Source organism: Homo sapiens, chromosome 3 (assembly GCF_000001405.40).
Source record: "Homo sapiens chromosome 3, GRCh38.p14 Primary Assembly".
Classification (NCBI taxonomy): Eukaryota; Metazoa; Chordata; class Mammalia; order Primates; family Hominidae; genus Homo; species Homo sapiens.
Window position 1 is genome coordinate 18,226,290 of NC_000003.12, and position 18,808 is coordinate 18,245,097.

General features: G+C 38.2%; 1 long non-coding RNA gene across 1 annotated transcript in view, besides 1 other annotated feature; it reads left to right on the forward strand.

Moving 5' to 3' along the window:
* Positions 1-18,808, forward strand: part of BALR6 (B-cell acute lymphoblastic leukemia associated long RNA 6) — a 306,371-nt gene that overhangs the window by 263,738 nt on the left and 23,825 nt on the right. The window lies entirely within an intron of this gene.
* Positions 8,148-8,442: a silencer, noted in NCBI's record as "tiled region #1190; HepG2 Repressive non-DNase unmatched - State 24:Quies, and K562 Repressive non-DNase unmatched - State 24:Quies". NCBI's record gives its function as "represses a minimal TATA promoter and a strong SV40 promoter by Sharpr-MPRA in HepG2 and K562 cells {active_cell/tissue: HepG2 | K562}" and the evidence as "EXISTENCE:reporter gene assay evidence [ECO:0000049][PMID:27701403]".

Consider the following 18,808-nt stretch of genomic DNA (forward strand, 5'->3'; position numbering starts at 1 on the left):
TAATACTTATGAAGACAGGAAGTTGAATAGATGAAGAGTGATGACTTTTTGCAGGATCTGAGCCCTAAAGTTTTGGGCCTACACTATTCCTTCCTATCTCCTTGTCAGAGAAGTTGAGGCAAGATCTCTCTTTTATCTGGCTCTCAGATTTCTGAGTATAATAAGCTCACAATTCCTTATAGGAAAGATAGAACACATCAGAAAAGCATTCCAAATCATTCCAAATCAAATGAAAGTCACCATTTGATGACTGTAAACTAGCCCCACTCATGGTTTGTTTGGATTTTCTTTTTTTTTTTAAAGGCATTAGAATACATTCAGCTTTTTCTGCATCTGTGTGTCAGTTGCAGAAATGGAAGTTGGAACTAGCCAACTCCATCAGTCATCTACCCCCAGTCTCTGAAATTTCTGTTCCTCTCTAGATAGTGGACGTTCAGTCATTTTGCAGCACTCATCTCGGCTCTAATAACAACTCTATTATGGCCCTGTGGCCTTTTTCGTAACATTTATTTTCAGGTTTGCCATGTGTTGGGCATCCATAACAGCCGGGCTGACTGTCACTTTGTGGCTCCAAAGGCATCGGCAGTGAGAGAGATCTGGACTCTTGCAAAGTATGATGGAATTGGCTGGATTTCATGTGACAAGCTCAGATGATGGCCCTTTGTCCAGAGCAGGCATGACAGAAATGGAAATGCTTGATACAGGTCCTGTTTCCTAAGAACATGTAAAGGACAACTTATGGTGATTTGGGGGATTAAATCGCAACTTTTTCTTGAACTTAAATCTCTATCAATTAGGTAGGCAGCTTGCTTTACTGGGAATTTTCATGGGACCAATACTTGTAAAGGAATGTATTGCTTAAGTGAAGCAGGATCTAGCTTATGACTGAAACTTACATTTGGGTAACACTTTAGCAGCATATCTTCTTTTGAATCAATTATAATCACATTCCACTGGAATCTAGGTCTAATACTACTTTATAGAAATTTTAGAATCACCTGCTTAGGGATATGTATATATATTAACTGGATCTATCAGGGATTAACAAATTAATAGATATTGCCTCTTCTCTTTTTACCTAATGACTATTTGTTTAATAACTGCACTTTTATTATATTAGATCGGGATTTTATCACATTACAAGGATATGTGAAAACCCCTAAAAAATTTGCTTTGGGAAAAAAGTAATGATAATTTATCCATTTTCCTAAACTACCTGTTTCAGTATTTAGATAGCTAATAAAGAGAGCAACCACCTTTAAGTAAACATTCTATCAGATTGAGACTATTGAGAGCAATCTATAAACAATACACCCACTTGCTTATCACTGGTGCATAACTGATGTCCAAGATGCAAAATGGATTACCATGATTTAAACTCTCAAAAATATTTTGAGTTGGGCAATTTTTCAGGACAGACAGCTGTCTACATGACACCTCCACTTAACTATCCAACAGATCTTTCAAATGGGTCATGTTCGCAACAGAATTCTTGAGTTCTCTATTACTCCAAAACTTACTAAATCTTAGGCTTCCCATCTCTTTGATGGCATCATTTATGTCGAGATGCCTGGGCTATAACTAGGGTATCATTCTTGATTCTCTTTTTTTTTTTAACCATATTCCCTATTAAAGAGATAGGAAAGCATAAGGTGATATCAGTTCTACCTTCAAAATATATCCCAAATCTGAACACTTCTCAATACCTCCATTCCTTTCACCCTCATCCAAGCCATCATGATCTTACAGCTGGCTTGCAAGGTCTCTTAACTGATCTCTCTGATCTTCCATTTCTCATTGTTAGTCAGTTCTCTACACAGCAGCTGGAGTGGCAATTATTTCATAATGTGTATCAGATTGTATTGCTTCCCTGATCAAAACTCTCCAGTGCTTTCTTATCACATTCATATCTACTACACCCTACAAGATTTTCCCCTGCCCATTTCCCTAAACTCATCGTCTGTCACTCCTCTCCCCATTTACTCTGCTCTACCCAGTCTCACTTCTTGTTCTTCAGACACACTGAGGTTAGTTCCACCTCAGTGCTGTTGCACTTACTATTCCTTTAGGCTGGAATATCTTCTGTTTCTTTGCCTAGCTCATTCCATCACTTGATTCAGGCTTCTGTTGAAATGTCATTTCCCCATGGAGCCTTCCCTCAACAATCTTTCCAAGCTGTCTCCCCCTGATTTCCACATGGTCTCCCCATTTCACCTGCTTCATTTTTCTCATAGTACTTATAATAGTCAGGGTGTTCCGGAGACAGGAAACCAGTAGAATAAATCTACGTATGAATATATAAATTTATTTTAGGAAATTGGCTTATGTAATTGAGGGGTTTGACAAGTTTGTAATTTGTAAGGAAGGCTGGTAGGCTGTAAACTCAGGGGATTTCTGTGTTATGGTCTTAAGACAGAGTTCCTTTTTCTTCTGGCATCACCTCAGTTTTTGTTCTTAACACCTTCAGCTAATTGAATGAAGCCCACCCACGTAATCAAATGTAAATCCTTTATTTATAAAAAACCAATTGAAGATATTAATCATATTTATTAAATTTCTTCATATCAATATCTAGACTACTGTTTGGCCAAATAACTGAGCATCATTGCCTAGCCAAATTGTCACATAAAATGTAACCATCACAGTACTTATCACCTTGTGCCATTAGACGGGCATTGATTTATTTGTTTGTAATAAGTCTCCTTCACTAGAATACAAAGGCCATGACAGCAAGAAGACAGGTTCAACGCCATATTCCAGTGCCCATAATAGTACCTGGCACACAGTAAACACTAGATAAATGAATAAATCTGGCTTCCTTCTTGTCTTACGTGAAATAACCTCTTTAGAACAAAGAGTCACAGACAGTATTTTGATAGTGCAGCCATTCAGCAAAGGTATATCAACTACCGAGAAATGATAGACAACAGCCCTTCAGATGTGCTAACATGTACTTGATAAAATTCTCAGGGTGAGCAGGAGACATGATAATTGTCAATTCTGAGGCAGGAAGCACTGACCACTGATAAGAAAGAGCTAGCCAATTTCAACCAACCAATGTATAATTCCAGTAGCAAGTATTTAATTTGCACGTGGGAGAAGAAAACTCATGTTGGAAGTTATTTTTGTGTTTTGCAAAGTAATAAACAAATTGTATAGCAAATAATAATTCAGAATAAAAATACAGCAATCAAGATACCTACTCACCTACTTAAGTTATAACTTTTTTAACTTTGAGTTTTGAGGACTAATTTTATAGTTTTGATAGAGTAGTTTTCAGAAATATATATATATATCTTCATGAAAGGATTTTTTTTCCTGAGTTAATTTGATAGAGAGGGAGGAGATGAAAGTGACAAACATCAAAAGACTCTGGAGTTTTACGCCGAGCACCTGGCGGGATGTAGAACATAATATAACACTGGAGACAGAGTCAGATGGGTTGGAGACAACATGTTTTTCAAATTGTGATATGCGTTTGCCAAGACAAGATTAAGAAAGTTAGGCTTCCCAGACCACAGAAAGACATACGTTTATTTGATCTTGATAGTTATTAAAATAGTTTGCAAAACTAGACCCTACAGCCTTTTTAGATTTGGGGATTTAAGAATGTGACTAACATTTTGGATTTGAAAAATATTACGGATATCTTTTCAACTTAGTCATGTGAGATTTATGGATTTGAATATCCTACCATATTTAACTTTGTAGTCCCCAGTCCTAACTGTTTACAAAGATCTTTTTCACATTTGTCATCCTACTTGAGCCTTATGACAACTCTTTGAGGTAAGTGAGATAATAGTATTACCCCTATTTCACCAAAGTGGAAACTGAGGCTCTGGACAATTTGCCCAATGGAGGTCACATAGCTAGGAATTGATGGCATTAGGATGTAAACCCCAGTCTTAGAAACCTTTCACACCCCACTGTTCTGCCTCCTTTTTAGTGAGAGCCAAGATTATAAGGTCTAAACCTTTTGGCTGTTGAGGACTAAATGATAAGTGAGTTGGTTATTCTATTAACTGGGCTGCTGGACATTTTCCCAATGATGTACCCAAGAGTTTTCTTGGTACATAAAAAAATTTCATGTTACAAGGCTTAAGCCTTGTAACATTTTGGATGATGCTTTATTCTAGCATCATGTGTGAACCAGTTCTTGCATCCTGTGTCACAGTCTTCTTTGCATTAACTATTATCATGTGTAATGTGACTACCTTTCTATTTCTCATAGAATCACAAGGAAATATTTTCCCCCAAGAGTAATAGTTTCTCCTATGATCAATTCATTTTTTCCTTTAAAGTCTATTTCATCAGGACTTTTTTGTGTTTTGTTTTTGTTTGTTTTGGTCTATTCTTTCCTTTGATTTTGTACAACCAGTCCTGGCACAGTCGTTTACGCCAACTGCTTCAAGAAATACATTTTACTCCATATCCGTAACACTTTTGGAGTTGCTTCTCTCTTTTCTTGAGCTGTTTTGCTTTTTATAGAGAACCACACACACACACACATGCACTGCACACACGCATATATATATATATATATATGCTCTCTATAACAAGAAAAATAATCTACTGATACCTTTGTTGTTGATAGCACTAATAAACTCTTAGTACTATCAATAATGAAGTGCTATCAATAACACTAATAAATTTTTCTTGTTATAGAGAGCACTATATATATAGTGTCCAATTTACTTATAACTATATAGTTATCAGTTACAGTTGTCCAATTAATATCAATTTAGACACAATACTTGATATGCATTTTATTTGATACAAATTAAAACAACTCCCAATTTGGCAAAAATTGAAACAATAATATGATGCACTGGTGAAATTGGAAGAAAGCAGAAAACCTCCTATACTGCTGGTAGACAATGTATTAGTACAACCTTTTCGGAAACAGTTTGGTAATAATATATCAAATATTTTTTTAAATTGCATACCCTTTAACTTTCCCATTCCATATTTATAAATCTATTTGAAATATTTAAGAATTTGTACAAAGGCTTAATTATATGACTGTTCAATGAGCATTGTTTTGAGGAGTAAAAATTTGGAAGTAACCTAAATAGCCAATATTGAAAGATAGGCTAAATACATGATGGAACATCCTGATTCCAGATTATTGTGCATCCATTCATTTAAGAAAGAAGTTGAAGAAAAAATACCTAATACTATAGAAAGATATTCAAGATGTACTTTAAAATAAAAAATCCAATCAAAAACAGTATTTAGAATAGGATTCCACTATTTTTTTAAAAGTACACGTATGCCGGACATGGTGTTTCACCCCTGCAATCCCAGTACTTTGGGAGGCTGAAGCGGGCAGATTACCTGAGGTCAGGAGTTCGCGACCAGCCTGGCAAACATGGTGAAACCCCATCTCTTCTAAAAATACAAAATTAGATGGATGTGGTGGTACACACCTGTAATCTCAGCTACTTGGGAGTCTGAGGCAGGAGAATCACTTGAACCCGGGAGATGGAGGTTGCAGTGAGCCGAGATCATGCCACTGCACTGCATCCAGGGTGACGGAGTGAAACTCTGTCAAAAAAAAAAAAAAAAAAAAAAACAACACATGTAGGAAAAAAAAAGGCTAGAAAATTATACACAAAAATGTTAATAGTGGATGTTCCAGGGACTGAGGCTTATGAATGATTTTTTTTCTTTTTCTTATCATAGTTTATATACTTTTTATGTTGTTTCTATTACTTTTGTAAAGAAAAAAAGTAGAAGTTTAAAAAAATCACAGACATTTGATTTAGGAGGTCCTAATTGGTTACATAGTGATTTGTTCAGGATGATTTCATGTATTTTTTCATTTTGTCATCCAGGATATTTCACAGACCAACTTGAAAGTAACATTTTTTGAAACCAATAGATTTTTAAAATGACTTTTTATAAGGCCCTATTACCAAGTTCAAAGACTGTTTTCTTTTTTTTTTTGAAACAGTCTAACTCTGTCGCCCAGGCTGGAGTGCAGTGGTGCGATCTCAGCTCACTGCAGACCTTTTTTAATGTGTTCCAAACTCACTATTTGCAGTTGGTTGGTACAGTGATCATCCTGTACAAACAGCTGCTATTTCTATTGTAATAATGGTCTTGGGACAGCGCATCCTACACCCATCAAGGAAAGAAACTCTTGTAGGGGCACTTGCCAGACATTCTGAAATGATTATGCCCAAAGGGAGTACAGTAGATTTGGACTTGTATGAACAAGTAACTGATTTTAATCTTGTTGGAGTTCAGATGTCATAGAAATACGTTGCAATAGTAGAACTATAAGAAGTTGCACGTTTAGAGTTGAGTAACACTAGTAGGATTTTTTACTGTCATCATTTAGATAAGAGAGCCATGGCCCAGTAAGGCTAAATGGTCCATTCAAAACTCAAACCCAGTTAGTGTCAAAGCCAGGACTCTAATTTCACATCCTCTAACCCTTAGCCTAATGCTCTTTCCAGGGTCAGATTCATGTACTAGTCCTTTGCCATAGAATATCTAATCTTGAGCAAGTTAATTAATCCCCCTGAGCCCTGATGTTTTTCTCTGTAAAGAGTGCACAATAATATCTACTTGTAGAGTTGTGGAAGAAACTAAACAAGATAATTTAACTTAGTACTGTGTCTGGAACATAGTATATGCATAGAATGCATAGAATATGCATAGTATATGCATAGAATGCATAGAATATGCATAGTATATGCATAGAATACGTTGTGGATATTATCATTACTAGTATTATTCCTCAGAGAACCAGCTAACAGTTGGATTTATAGGGTAGAATTTGAAAGAGAGGCTAGAGCTCATCTGAGGAGTTCTCTGCTTGGTGATAGCATCTGGAGCCAGGAAAGCAGGTGAGATTGCTGACAGCGAGCGTAGAGATGGGAGAAGCACTGAGAGGGTAAAACAATATTAAAAGTTTAGAAGATAGATGAAAAACCAGCTACAAAGACAAAAGAACCAGGATGGTGGAAAGTTACAGAAACCAAGGGAGCAGCAGACATTGGGTTTGGCATTTTCATTGGTAATCTTGGAACAAACAGTTTTTGTTGAGTGAGAAACAGAATTCAGATGCCAAAAAACAAAATAATAAAGTTAGGGTGTGTGCATGTCTTGAAATACCTCTTTACTAAATGTGGTTGTTAAAGAAGGACAGGGATCAATTAGTAATTTAAGATGGTTGCAGGGTCAAGGAAAGGTTTTACTTTTAAATATAGAGAAGATCTGAGCATGTTTATTGGCAAGAAGAGTTTGACGAAACAGAAAGAAGGATGGAAGATGAGATTAAATAATTGTTGAAGTTATAGGGAATAAGATCCAACTATAGGATAAGGTTGAACGACTTGGCAGAAAGGAGAAGTATCTCTCCCTCTGAGGGTAGAGAAGCTAAGGGTAGAGGGATCTTGAGGTGAAGAGAAAAGAAAGTGAGGATGCTTAGCTATTGCATGCCCTCAGTCTGCGGGGTGAACTTAACCATCAGGATATTTCTCTCAAATGAAGGTCCAGGGCTAAGGTGGCAGTATTAGGGAGAAATGAAACATTTGGAACAAGAACCATGGGAGAATTTGACAGTCAATTAGAGAGCAACACAAATATGTTGGCATAGGCTAAAGGGCCACCTGAGGTCAAACAGCATGACTGTGCGGTAGACCCCATCACCCCAACATCAACATCTTGACCTCCTGGTATTTGACAGACCACAGTATTCCCAAGAATGGAGTTCTGGCAACATCAAGGAAGCAAGAAGGTCTAGGCTGTATTGAGAGAGGTTTTATCAGAACGATGGTGATGGAATGGAAAAGAGGTAGTGCCCACTGGTAAAAGATAAAAGGCGTGTGCTCAGTGGACACAAGGTAGTAGGAGCTGGGGAAAATTCCAGTGAGTGACATTCTGGCAGTGGAACAGTTTTGAGAGGTGATGTGTGAGGTGTGTGGCTGAGGTGAAGAGAGGAAAAGACTGGAGGGTTTGGAACTGAGGAGGTTAAAGAACTGAAGCCAGAGGCTTTAATAGTCTGTTATTGCCGGTGAAGACTGCATGATAGCAGAAGACTGTGAGCAAGAGTACCCCTCAGTTGGGGGTGTAAGTGGCATAAAATGCTGAGTCAGGGGCTCCTTCAAGCAACTGCAGCTCAGAGCTCGGCATTTCTGCTCACTTCATTGCCCGTGCAGAGACTTTGGATGTCTCCCCGTGATCTTGACAGGCTGGAATTTTCTAATCCTGGTAGTCCTATTCATCTCAAGAGATCCTGTGCTTCTGGGTTTCCCTGCAGGGAGAGAATGTGCCTACCTGCATTTCCCTGAAGTGCTTGTTTGTTCGCTACCCAGATTCCCAAATATCGTCAAGCCTCCCCTGTTGTGCCAGCCTGCGCCTCTCATTTAGAGAGGAGTGTGATGCCGCTATCCATTTTGCAGTCTTTGTGCACATCAAAACAAACAAACAGAGACCCAAACACACCCCAGCAGGCTTATTGTCAGAGAATTAGCTCCCATGCTGGCGCAGCCAGACGAATTCAGATAAGAATAGCTTAAAATAAATCCTCGCAGGCAAACTGGTCACAGGCCAGGGCTGTGGGATAACTTCTGGCTACAACCACATTCTGTACACATGTTCTGTTATCCTAAAAGATTTTATTTTACATTTTTTAAGGGAGCCAGAGGTAAAAGGGAAGCAAATTAAAATTGCCTTCTCCTCACTGAAGCCTGAGGTAGATGAGGAGGTATTTGGTTAAGAACTCAGACAGCATGGTTGAACATTCAAGAGCACCTGTTTATGATTATTTTTTGCCTCCAGGTAAATTGAAATTTGATCTTCCACTGCTAGAGGCTTCTCATTCCTAGAGACATTAACCACATGCATCAGTTGGATGGCATTCCTCTCCTAGGTCAAGCCTGTGGCTCCCGCCTCTGTAAATATCTGGTCCTCCTCTATAACCTTGAAAGCTACCTATGAACACTCCTTGACACTTGGTGCCAGTTTAACATAATAAATGTCTTTGGGGACTACCTGCATAATTACAGAAAGAAAAATCATTTTCATCTTGTAACTAACTAGGTAGATTCAAAGCTAGTGCCTAGATTTTCTTTAAATACCTCTTGACTTCAGGGAAATCTGAGTCTAACATTGTGACATTGCATTGGCCAGTTTCAAATTATTATAACTATGATTTCAACATTCCCAAGTCTGGCTGTGTGGATAGACGGTGACCCAGCAAGGGAACAAGGTGTAGAATCAGGAATAAGATTAATGCTTTTCAGCTGGTGACATGGAAAATATGCATGAGCCTAGCTGGTAGCTGTTCTGCTTTCTTTCTCAGCAAATTTTTACAAGGTGGAAGTCACCTTGATTGTCTCAAAAGCAAAGGGGGTTATGACGGCAACAAGTCTTGATCTATTTTGTGGGCCAATAAGTGAAACTATTTTTCCAAACCTACATTTCTATATCAAAACTTGCTTTCTGTTAAAACTCCCAGTCCCCGATCCAGTAGGTCCCAATTCATTCTGAAATGAGTTATAAGTTCGAGCAAGATACTGCCTCTTATTAAATAATAAAGGGGCAGTATTTATTGGGTCAAACAGATCTGTGTTTAAATTAACCACTGCATAGTCTGAGCAAGTTACTTAACCTCTGATTCTTTAGTTTTGTCATTTATCAAACGATCATAACATTTTCTACCTCTCAAGGTTACTTTGAGGATTAAATAACATAATTTATATAAAACAATTAGTAGAATGCATTTGATAGCAGGAGGAGGAATTATAATGAGCTCTATGTATAAGGCACAGTGCTAAATTCTTTATAAAGAGTAACTCATTTAATCCTCACAACAGACCTATTGACCTATTATGACCTATGACATAAGACCTATTATGAAGATCCATTGTTTGCACAGAAACACAAAGAGGTCTGGCATGTTAGAGATGAGAGGAGAGGTGTAAGAATAAACTGTATGTAACAACAAAAAGTATGATGATGATGGCGGTGGTGGTGGTGGCAGTGGTTAGCATTTGTTGAATGCTTAATAAGTACCAGGTCTTGTGCTAATTATTTTAGTATGCAGTATCTTGTTCATGTCTTATAATTAATGTGAGAAATAAGGTACAATTTTAAGCCCCATTTTTTTTACTAAAGAAAACAGAAGTACAGAGAAGATTAAAACTTGCCCAGCGTCACACGGCTGGTCAGTGGTGGTACTGGGACTTAAATTTAGCTCTTTTTGATGTTCTCCCTTCTCTTTAAGAGACTCTGCTCTTAGCCCCTAGCCCAGTAATTTTCAGCGTGGTCCACAGAAACAGCATTGGCATTACCTGGGAATTTATAAGAAAGATAACTTCTCAGGTCCCACCCAAGACCTACTGAATCAGGAAGTCTGGAGTGGAGTCCGGCACCAGAGTTCAATATAGGCCCTCCAAGGGATTCTGATGCATGCTCAAGTTTGAGAACCATGCCCTAGACACTTTTGCTTCCCTTTATGGGGCACTTTAGGCTTGGTGAGCCTAATCTATTGAACTGATTTGATCTTTTCAGCTGGATTCAGCCTTTGCATCTGGCTATCTCCAGAACAAAATCTCACCATCCCATTCCTTTGGCCTTCCATTGTTTACACCCTTCCCACTCATGGCTATGTGGTACCAGGAACAAAAGACCCTTTAGGAGTAAAATGTGTCATAAGTGAGCCTTCCTTGCAGCGCTATTGTTACGTACATTCCATTGGAGATTGGAGGTGACCAGGAAGATAATGCCTCACATCTTATTAGCTGTGTGTGGGCAGCTGAGTTAACTTTTCTGTGCCTCAGTGTTCTCTGCTGTGCAATGGAGATAATCACATCACCTACCTGGGATGGATGCAATGAAGATTAAGTGCGACAATCCATGTGTGAGGTATGAGCTCTGTGCTTAACACATTTAACTACACAATAAACATTTGCTATTGTTATTAGGAAAAAAAAACCCTTTTCTGGAAGAATTGAGCATCATTCTAAAAGAACTATTTAGGACAAAAAAATGCTATATTCTAATGCACAGAGATAAACCTAGGTAATGTACAGCGGGCAGTCAGTGGCTAAAGTACCTTGTTTGCAGGTACTGCACATTTCAGAAAAGCCCAAGTAGGAGGAAACTAACCTTAATCCGGAAGATGATGATTTGTCTACTCTGTGATTCAATAAAGGCCACAGACTCTGCCTCAACAGGCTGTGAGTAAATCGGAAACTGTGGACTTAACTGCTCTGAGTCACTAATGAGTGATAAAGAAAGAAATGGATACTCTTTCAAATCCATTTTTTGCTTTTAATTTCACCAGGGCAAACTCTCTCTAAACAGCCCATTAGTTAAAACACTTGAGTAGAAACACAAAAGCAAGGATAATGGAGTTTGTTCATCAGCCAGCCTTTCCTCTCCTTATCTAACTGCTTCCCACTCCTGTTTAAAGGCAAAAAAAAAAAAAAAAAGCCCCAGTGCTCCACAGTGTGAGCAGCATCAGAGAGCCAACTGCCAAAAGCCTTGGGAGGTGTCACTTGACCCTGCAAAAAGTGCAGAGCATGCAGCAGCAGGCACTGCTGGAGCACCGTGACTGCCTGAGAGGGAGGTGGCATCTGTGCCCTATTCATCTGTGCCCTTAGATTGTTTTATCATCCAGAGGATAAACCCAGGGGTCTTTTCTAGGGCATTGCATGGCCCGTCCCTCCACCATGGGAAACCTAAGGGATGATGTGTTCTTTTGCTAGGGCTGCAGTAACAAGTACCACATGAGGTGGCTTAAACAACAGAATTTTATTGTCTCACATTACTGGAGGCAGAAGTCTGAGATTAAGGTGCGGGCTGTCGGTTGTGAAGAAGAACCTATTCCCTGCCTCTCTTCTAGCTTCTGGTAGTTTGTTGACAATCTTTGGCATCCTCGGCTTCTACCTCATCACTACATCTCTGTCTTCATCTTCACATGTTCTCCCTGTATGAGTGCCCATGTCCAAATTTCTCCCTTTTCTAAGAATTCTAGTCATATTGGATTAAGGGGCCCATTCTACTCCAGTATGACCTCATTTTAATGAATAACATCCTCAATGACCTTATTTCCAAATAAGGTTACACTCTGAGGTATTGAGGGTCAGGACTTCAACATATGAATTTGAGAGAAGGAGACACAATTCAACTCGTAACAGATGGTGAGAGAAACTCTAGGTCCACTAAGAAGCTAGTTCTGTTGTTTAAACAGGCCTGGGGCAGTACTTCACACACTGTAATGTATACACGAATCACCTGAGGATCTTGCTAAAATGCATACTTTGATTCAGTCAATCTAGGGTGGGTGCTGAGATTCTGCATTTCTAGCCAGTTCCCAGTGATGCTACTGCTGCTATTTTGAGTAGCAAGGTCCTGGAGGAATTTCATGATTGTTTATTCTTATTCTTTTTGTTCATATCTATTGTACTTCTTCCCAGGGGCTTGCTGGTCACCACTTCCTCGCCTGGAACCGTATTTCAGGGGTTCAGGGCATAGGAATAATCAAATTAACAAAATACACAGGCCCTCAGAACCACTTATGTCTAGACCAGGAAAGCTAAAGGGTGTCTGGCGCAGAAGTTGTTTTCTAAGCTGTGTCCACAGCCCTCAGCTCATCTGTGTCATTTTTCAATCTGTTAGAGCTGTGGTCTGAGTGTGGCTGTGGTGGTCTCTGTGTGGTTTAGTTCCCCTGGGAGCCCACTGATTACAGGACTACTTGAGGATGGGCTAAGTTTTTCTTGGAGTACTTTAATAAATTAATACCTAGACTGGGGGAAAATATTTTCAGCATATGTAACAAACCAAGTATTAGCATGCAGAACATATAAAGAAATTCTGCAAATCAAATGACTCAATATAAAAATAGCCAAAGGTTATGAAAAGGGAATTCACCTAGGAGGAAACCTTAATGACTAATAAGCATATGAAAATATTTTTGTTCCCATTATAACTAGAGAAATTCAAATTAAAACATTAAAGCATGATCATTTCTTGCTTTCTAGAGGAATAAACATTTAAGACATTAATTGATGGCATGAGTGGGGAGAAATGGGTACTCTCATTCATGGACAGGAATAGAAATTGGAGGTCAATTTTGCATTACTGCTATATCTGAGATATCTAATTCCTACATCTGTGGAATTCTGTTTCCTGGTATCTACTCTACAGAAACACTTACATGGATGCATAAAGACGCATGTTTAGGGAAATTTATTGAACTATTCATTATTAGCAATAGCAAAAAATTGTTGATAATCTAAATGTGCATCAATAACATTTCTTGGTTACTTATAATGTCACAGATCCTGTTATAAGTGCTTTTCATATGCATAAGAACTCTCTGATGTAGGTACCATCCTAACTCCCATTTTAGAGATGCAGAAACTAAGGCACAGATAGGTTAAGTATCTTGCTCAAGGTCACTCAGCTGGGACAGAGACGTGAACCCCTGTAGTCCAGCTGCATAGGAAAAACTCTTAACTATTTCAACCTACCACATCTAGACAACTAGAATGAGGTGGTCTCCCTGTGTTGGTGTGAAGAGATCTCTAAGAAGTATTGATAAATGAAAAAAGCAAGTTGCACAGTGAGTCATATAGTTTAACACCATCTATGTAAAAAAAAAAAAAAAAACCCTAAACACTTACATACTTTATGGGGACTCATGTATGCATGTAAATCCGGTGAAAAGTTCTAGAAGGTGCCACAACAAACCACTTACTCAGGGTTATCTCTGAAAAGGGAAAGGGAGTGGCTCTGGAGATCATAGGGGTGGTACAAAGAGCGTTTTTACTTTTATTTGCCATCAGGTTTTTTTCTTTTTTTGGAAGGATTAGATGTTAATGTATTATTTTGTAATTAACATTAATTTTAAAACATTAATTCATGATATCAGTTCTTAGTCCTGCACTGACGGCTCTGCTCCCTGGAAAGAACTGAGACATCTACTGCATTCCCTTTTGGCCAAATCCTTCCCTTCCTGCTCCATCTGGCATTTGCACAGAGCCATCCTCTGAGCACATTTCCTTTCCTTTGTCATTCTCATCATCATCACGATTTGCTTATGTTTTGTTAAGGTGTTATTTATTAGCCCTGTGATGGTTGCTTATGAATGTTACTGTTACAATTGAGAAGAACGTGAAAACTTTCATTTGAGAGAGGCTAGGGGTCTAGTGGCTACTGCATACTTTAAAGTAGTTGATGGAGGGGGAAGGAGAATATTTAGGAAGATCCTTACGTTCTTGAAATTATCTATCCTCTGGTAGGTCTAATATAAAATCTTCAATTTTCCTGGTAACTCAAAATGATTTTGCCTCTTACATCAAGTCCCTCCTGGTTAATCACTTGTCCTCCCATTTCCCTCTACCTGTGCCCAAACCACTTCTATAATCAAATGAACATAGACATGTAAGAAGAAATGGAATTTATAATTGATTTTTATTTATTGTATATGCAGATGTACTAAGTAATGCCTAGAGCATATAGACAGCAGATTTAAATAGTTCCTTTTCATTTTTAGGCTGAAACCAGATGGCCAGTTCTACTTGCTATTGCATCTAGCACATTCTGATTGGCTGACCTGGAAAAGGACATGCTTGCAGCATATCCCAGCCCTGTCCTTTCCTCCTCCACACTTACATCAAAGTCTCACAAAAAACATTTTCCCCACCAAAAGCATCTTTGTCCTCTAGGATTCAAATTTCAGGGATTCTTTTTCTGCTTGACCTCCAGAATACAGTGAAAATTAAAAAAAAAAAAAAGATATTATATTCTGTGTGACCCCAATGAACACAGCCTTGCTTCTATATTCCTTATGTAGTCATTATAAGGCGGAATTGTAGACCTATGAGAGTGAAAACAATAAAACTTCTAGAAGAAAATATAGGAGAAAAATTTTGTGATCTTGGGTGGGGCAAAGAGTTCCTAGCTACTATATCAAAAGCATGATCCTTAAAGGAAAAAAAAAAAAAAACAGATAAATTGAACTTTATCAAACTTGAAAACTTTTGTGCTTCAAAAGATGCCACTAAGACAATGATTAGATAAGCCACACACTGGGAGAAAATATTTGCAAATCATATATCTGACAAAGGACTTTATGCAGAATACATATAACAAAGTGCTACAAGTTGTAACAAAACAAACAACCCAATTGTAAAATGACAAAATATTTGATAGACATTTTACCAAAAAAGAAATATAAATGGCTAATAAGCATATTAAAATGCTCAATATCATTAGTCATTTGAGAAATGCAAATTAAAATCAATGATATACTTCTGTACACCTATAGAATGGCCTTAATTAAAAAGACCAACAGACATTACCAAATGTTGGGGAGGATGTGTATGGAGAAACTAGAAACTTCATGCACTGCTGGTGGGAATGTTAAATGGTACAGCTATTCTGGAAGCAGATAGCTTTTTTTTTTTTTTTTTTTTTTAAATTAAACCTTCTGTACCACTCAGCAATTCCGGTTCTAGGAATCTGTGCAAGAGAAAATGTAATGTCCACACAAAGACATGTATACAAATGTTCACAGTAGCGTTATTTATAATGACCCCAAACTGGAAACAACCTAAAAGTTCAACTGGCGAGTAGACAACAAAATATTGTGTATCAATACAGTGGAATGTTACTTAACAAGAAAAAGAAATAAAGTACTGATACTTGCCACAACATGAATAGACCTCAATAAAAGTGCTAAGTGAAAGAATTCAGATGTAAAAGATTACATATTGCATGATTCCATTTATATGAAGTGTCCAGAAGAGGCAAATTGATACAGACAGAAGGCAGATCAGAGGTTGCTTAGGGTTGGGGGTGAGAGCAGTGATTAATTGGAAACAGGCATGAGGGAGCTTTTTGGGGGAATGGAAATGCTCTAAAATTAGAGTGTGGTTTTACTCTATAAATTTACTAAAAATGAGTGGATTGTATACTTACAACTGGTGAATTTTATGGTATGCAAATTACACTTCAATAAAGCCGTTTAAAAACAAACGACTAATGGACTGGTGCGGTGGCTCACGCCTTAATCCCAGCACTGTGGGAGGCCAAGGCAGGTGGATCACTTGAGGTCAGGAGTTTGAGACTGGCCTGGCCAACATGGTGAAACCCTGTCTCTACTAAAAATATAAATAAATAAATAAATAAATAAATAAATAAATAAATAAATAAGCCAGGCGTGGTGGCAGGTGCCTGTAGTCCCAGCTACTCAGAAGGCTATGGCAGGAGAATTGCTTGAACCTGGGAGGCAGAGGTTGCAGTGAGCCAAGATCGTGCCACTGCCCTCCAGCCTGGGCGACAGAGCGAGACTCTGTCTCAAATAAATAAATATATAAATATATAAATAAATATAAATAAAATAAACACAACTAATAGCATCCCCATGTGCTTGACCTGGGCAGGGTCATTTGATCTATCACTCTAATACTATCTTTGTTATTTGCTAGCCACATTAACCAAGACCTTTTGTGCTCAGGGAAGTTCATTATTCACTTCAGGGATTGACCAGTATTCTGTATCATTTTCAAGACAGAGTACTGAAATAGTAAAGGGCAGATCAGATAACAAAGATGCCTACTCTTTCATATAATGGTTACAATTCCGAGAAAATTCAACTTGCTGGAAAAATAGTTGCCAACCTATATAGTTATTTAAAGAGGTCTGGATAAGTGCTGTTGACATTTTTGTAGACAAATACTTCCTTCTCCTCACCCATGGCTGAAATTCTTCTTTCAGATTAATTTGGCCATGTTTACACCCTCCTATCATTGAGAAGAGGGGCTTAGCAAGCAGGATAGGGGAGTCAACACAGATTCTAAGAGGAGCCGGAAGTCATAGATTCGAATTCCAACTCCAATAATCCATTGAAGTAATATGCAACAGTGTCTGTGGATTCATAGAGTTCTCTATGCATATTAGCTGTTATTATTATAATTCAATAATTCTACAGTGTTTTAAAAAAAGTTTTAAATGATGGTTTATTTTAAAATCAGAGTCTGTGTTGAATTATTACCAGTACACATTTATGTTTACCACAATTTCGAATTGAACTTATTATCCTCTCTCCCAAACTTTTAGCTTGCCCACTTGTTTAAAGACCTTTCTTAAGTCCTTGAGGCTAAAATTCATCCCCAAATCTTGCCTATTTGCCTTGACATATTCCCCGGGTTCTCTTCTTTGCTCCATGTCATCGGCAGCTGAGTTTATGTCAGCAACCTTTTGTCTTGCTTCTCCCTTTTATTATCCTTCAGATTATGTACCGACCCATCATTTTTTCCCGTCTAAAACATGCAGTGGCTCACTAGCACCTCTTCTTTTACTGTCCAATCTCACCCAGTAGGTTCTCATCTCATGTTTCCCCAACATAGATCCCCTTCTCCAGTGAGATTACCCCCTTTCCTGTCCACTCATTCTTGCCTCAATCTTAGTTTATGTGAGGAAGACCCTCACTTATTTTTGAATATTTTCTTCAAGCAGCATCTCAAGACTGTTTTTGTAAATGGTGAATTAGAAGGAGGGTTGTCCTTGGTGCCTCTGTGCTCCTCAGTCTGCCCATTTTCATAGACACCCAATGCCCCATCAATCTGGGTTTCCACTGAGGCTTCCCCCAAGTGGGCTTCAAACTGATCCCTTCCCTTGACCAGTCAATCTACATTTCCATTTTCTCCATTTTCAGATCGTTTAGGAACTTGACTTGATAAACTAATTCATATTATGAAATAAACAAATCCACACATTTGATCCCTGTCATGAGTATCTCATTTTAAAATGGGGTAACCTGAGACATAATGCAATAGCCCAACAATTACTAACAATAGAGAATGTGACACAAATGGAAAGGGACATATAATGGAGGTGAGGGGAGTACACAGGAACATTATCCCAAAGTCCTTGACATCACTCTTTGTAAGCTCCCACTCACTCTCCCTGCTAAAACGTTCCCTTACCCCTCTGTGATATGTGTCCCAAGTCTTCCCTTGCACAGCATTCCTGGAGGCACACAGATTTAGGAGTTGAAAGACCTGGATCTCAGTCCTGGCTCATCTATTGATTAGATGTGTGACTTTGGGCAAGTCACTCAAACTCTCTGGGCCTCAGTTTTCTCATCTGTACACTGGGGATCATAATATTTGGCTTGTGGAGTGGTTGTGAGGGTCAGATGAAATACGATATGCAAAGTACCTAGTAACAGTGTCTAGCACGTAGTAAGAAGTAAATACAGAGGTAACAGATCACCATATGAAGCCCCGCCTTTGACTAATGCCACGAATGCATGCTGCATCTCCTCAAACTGTTCTCAAAGACAGAGACTTATCTTTCCTTATGCTTTGTTCAAAATTACAGTGGTTCTCTTATTTGTGTGTGTGTAGTTATATATATATTTATTTTTCCCCATATCATTTCATAAGATATTCCATAAGGCTTTTGTCTTTAAATGAAGCATTTTTTTAAAATAATTAACTTCTAGTTTACTTTTAGCTTTTAGGTGGTGTAAATCTATATAAAAAGTCAAAGCTCAAGAGGTCACTTAGTCTACCTCAAAATACCATTGCCTAGATTTTTTTTTAACTGAAAAGATCTCTAGTAACATACTACATCAAAATAGACTTTTATGAAGTCAGAGTGCTTCTACATACATTCTTGTTGCAATCTAAATGCTTTCTTCTCTTTTGTGAAAAAGTATTCAATCTTTCTAAATAGCTGAGTAATTTAGCCAGCAATCTTTTCCTGTGGCAAATGCTAAGTAGGTCTCATATTCTAACCAATATGTAATATGAGTCTTTAGGATTGAAAAATAAAG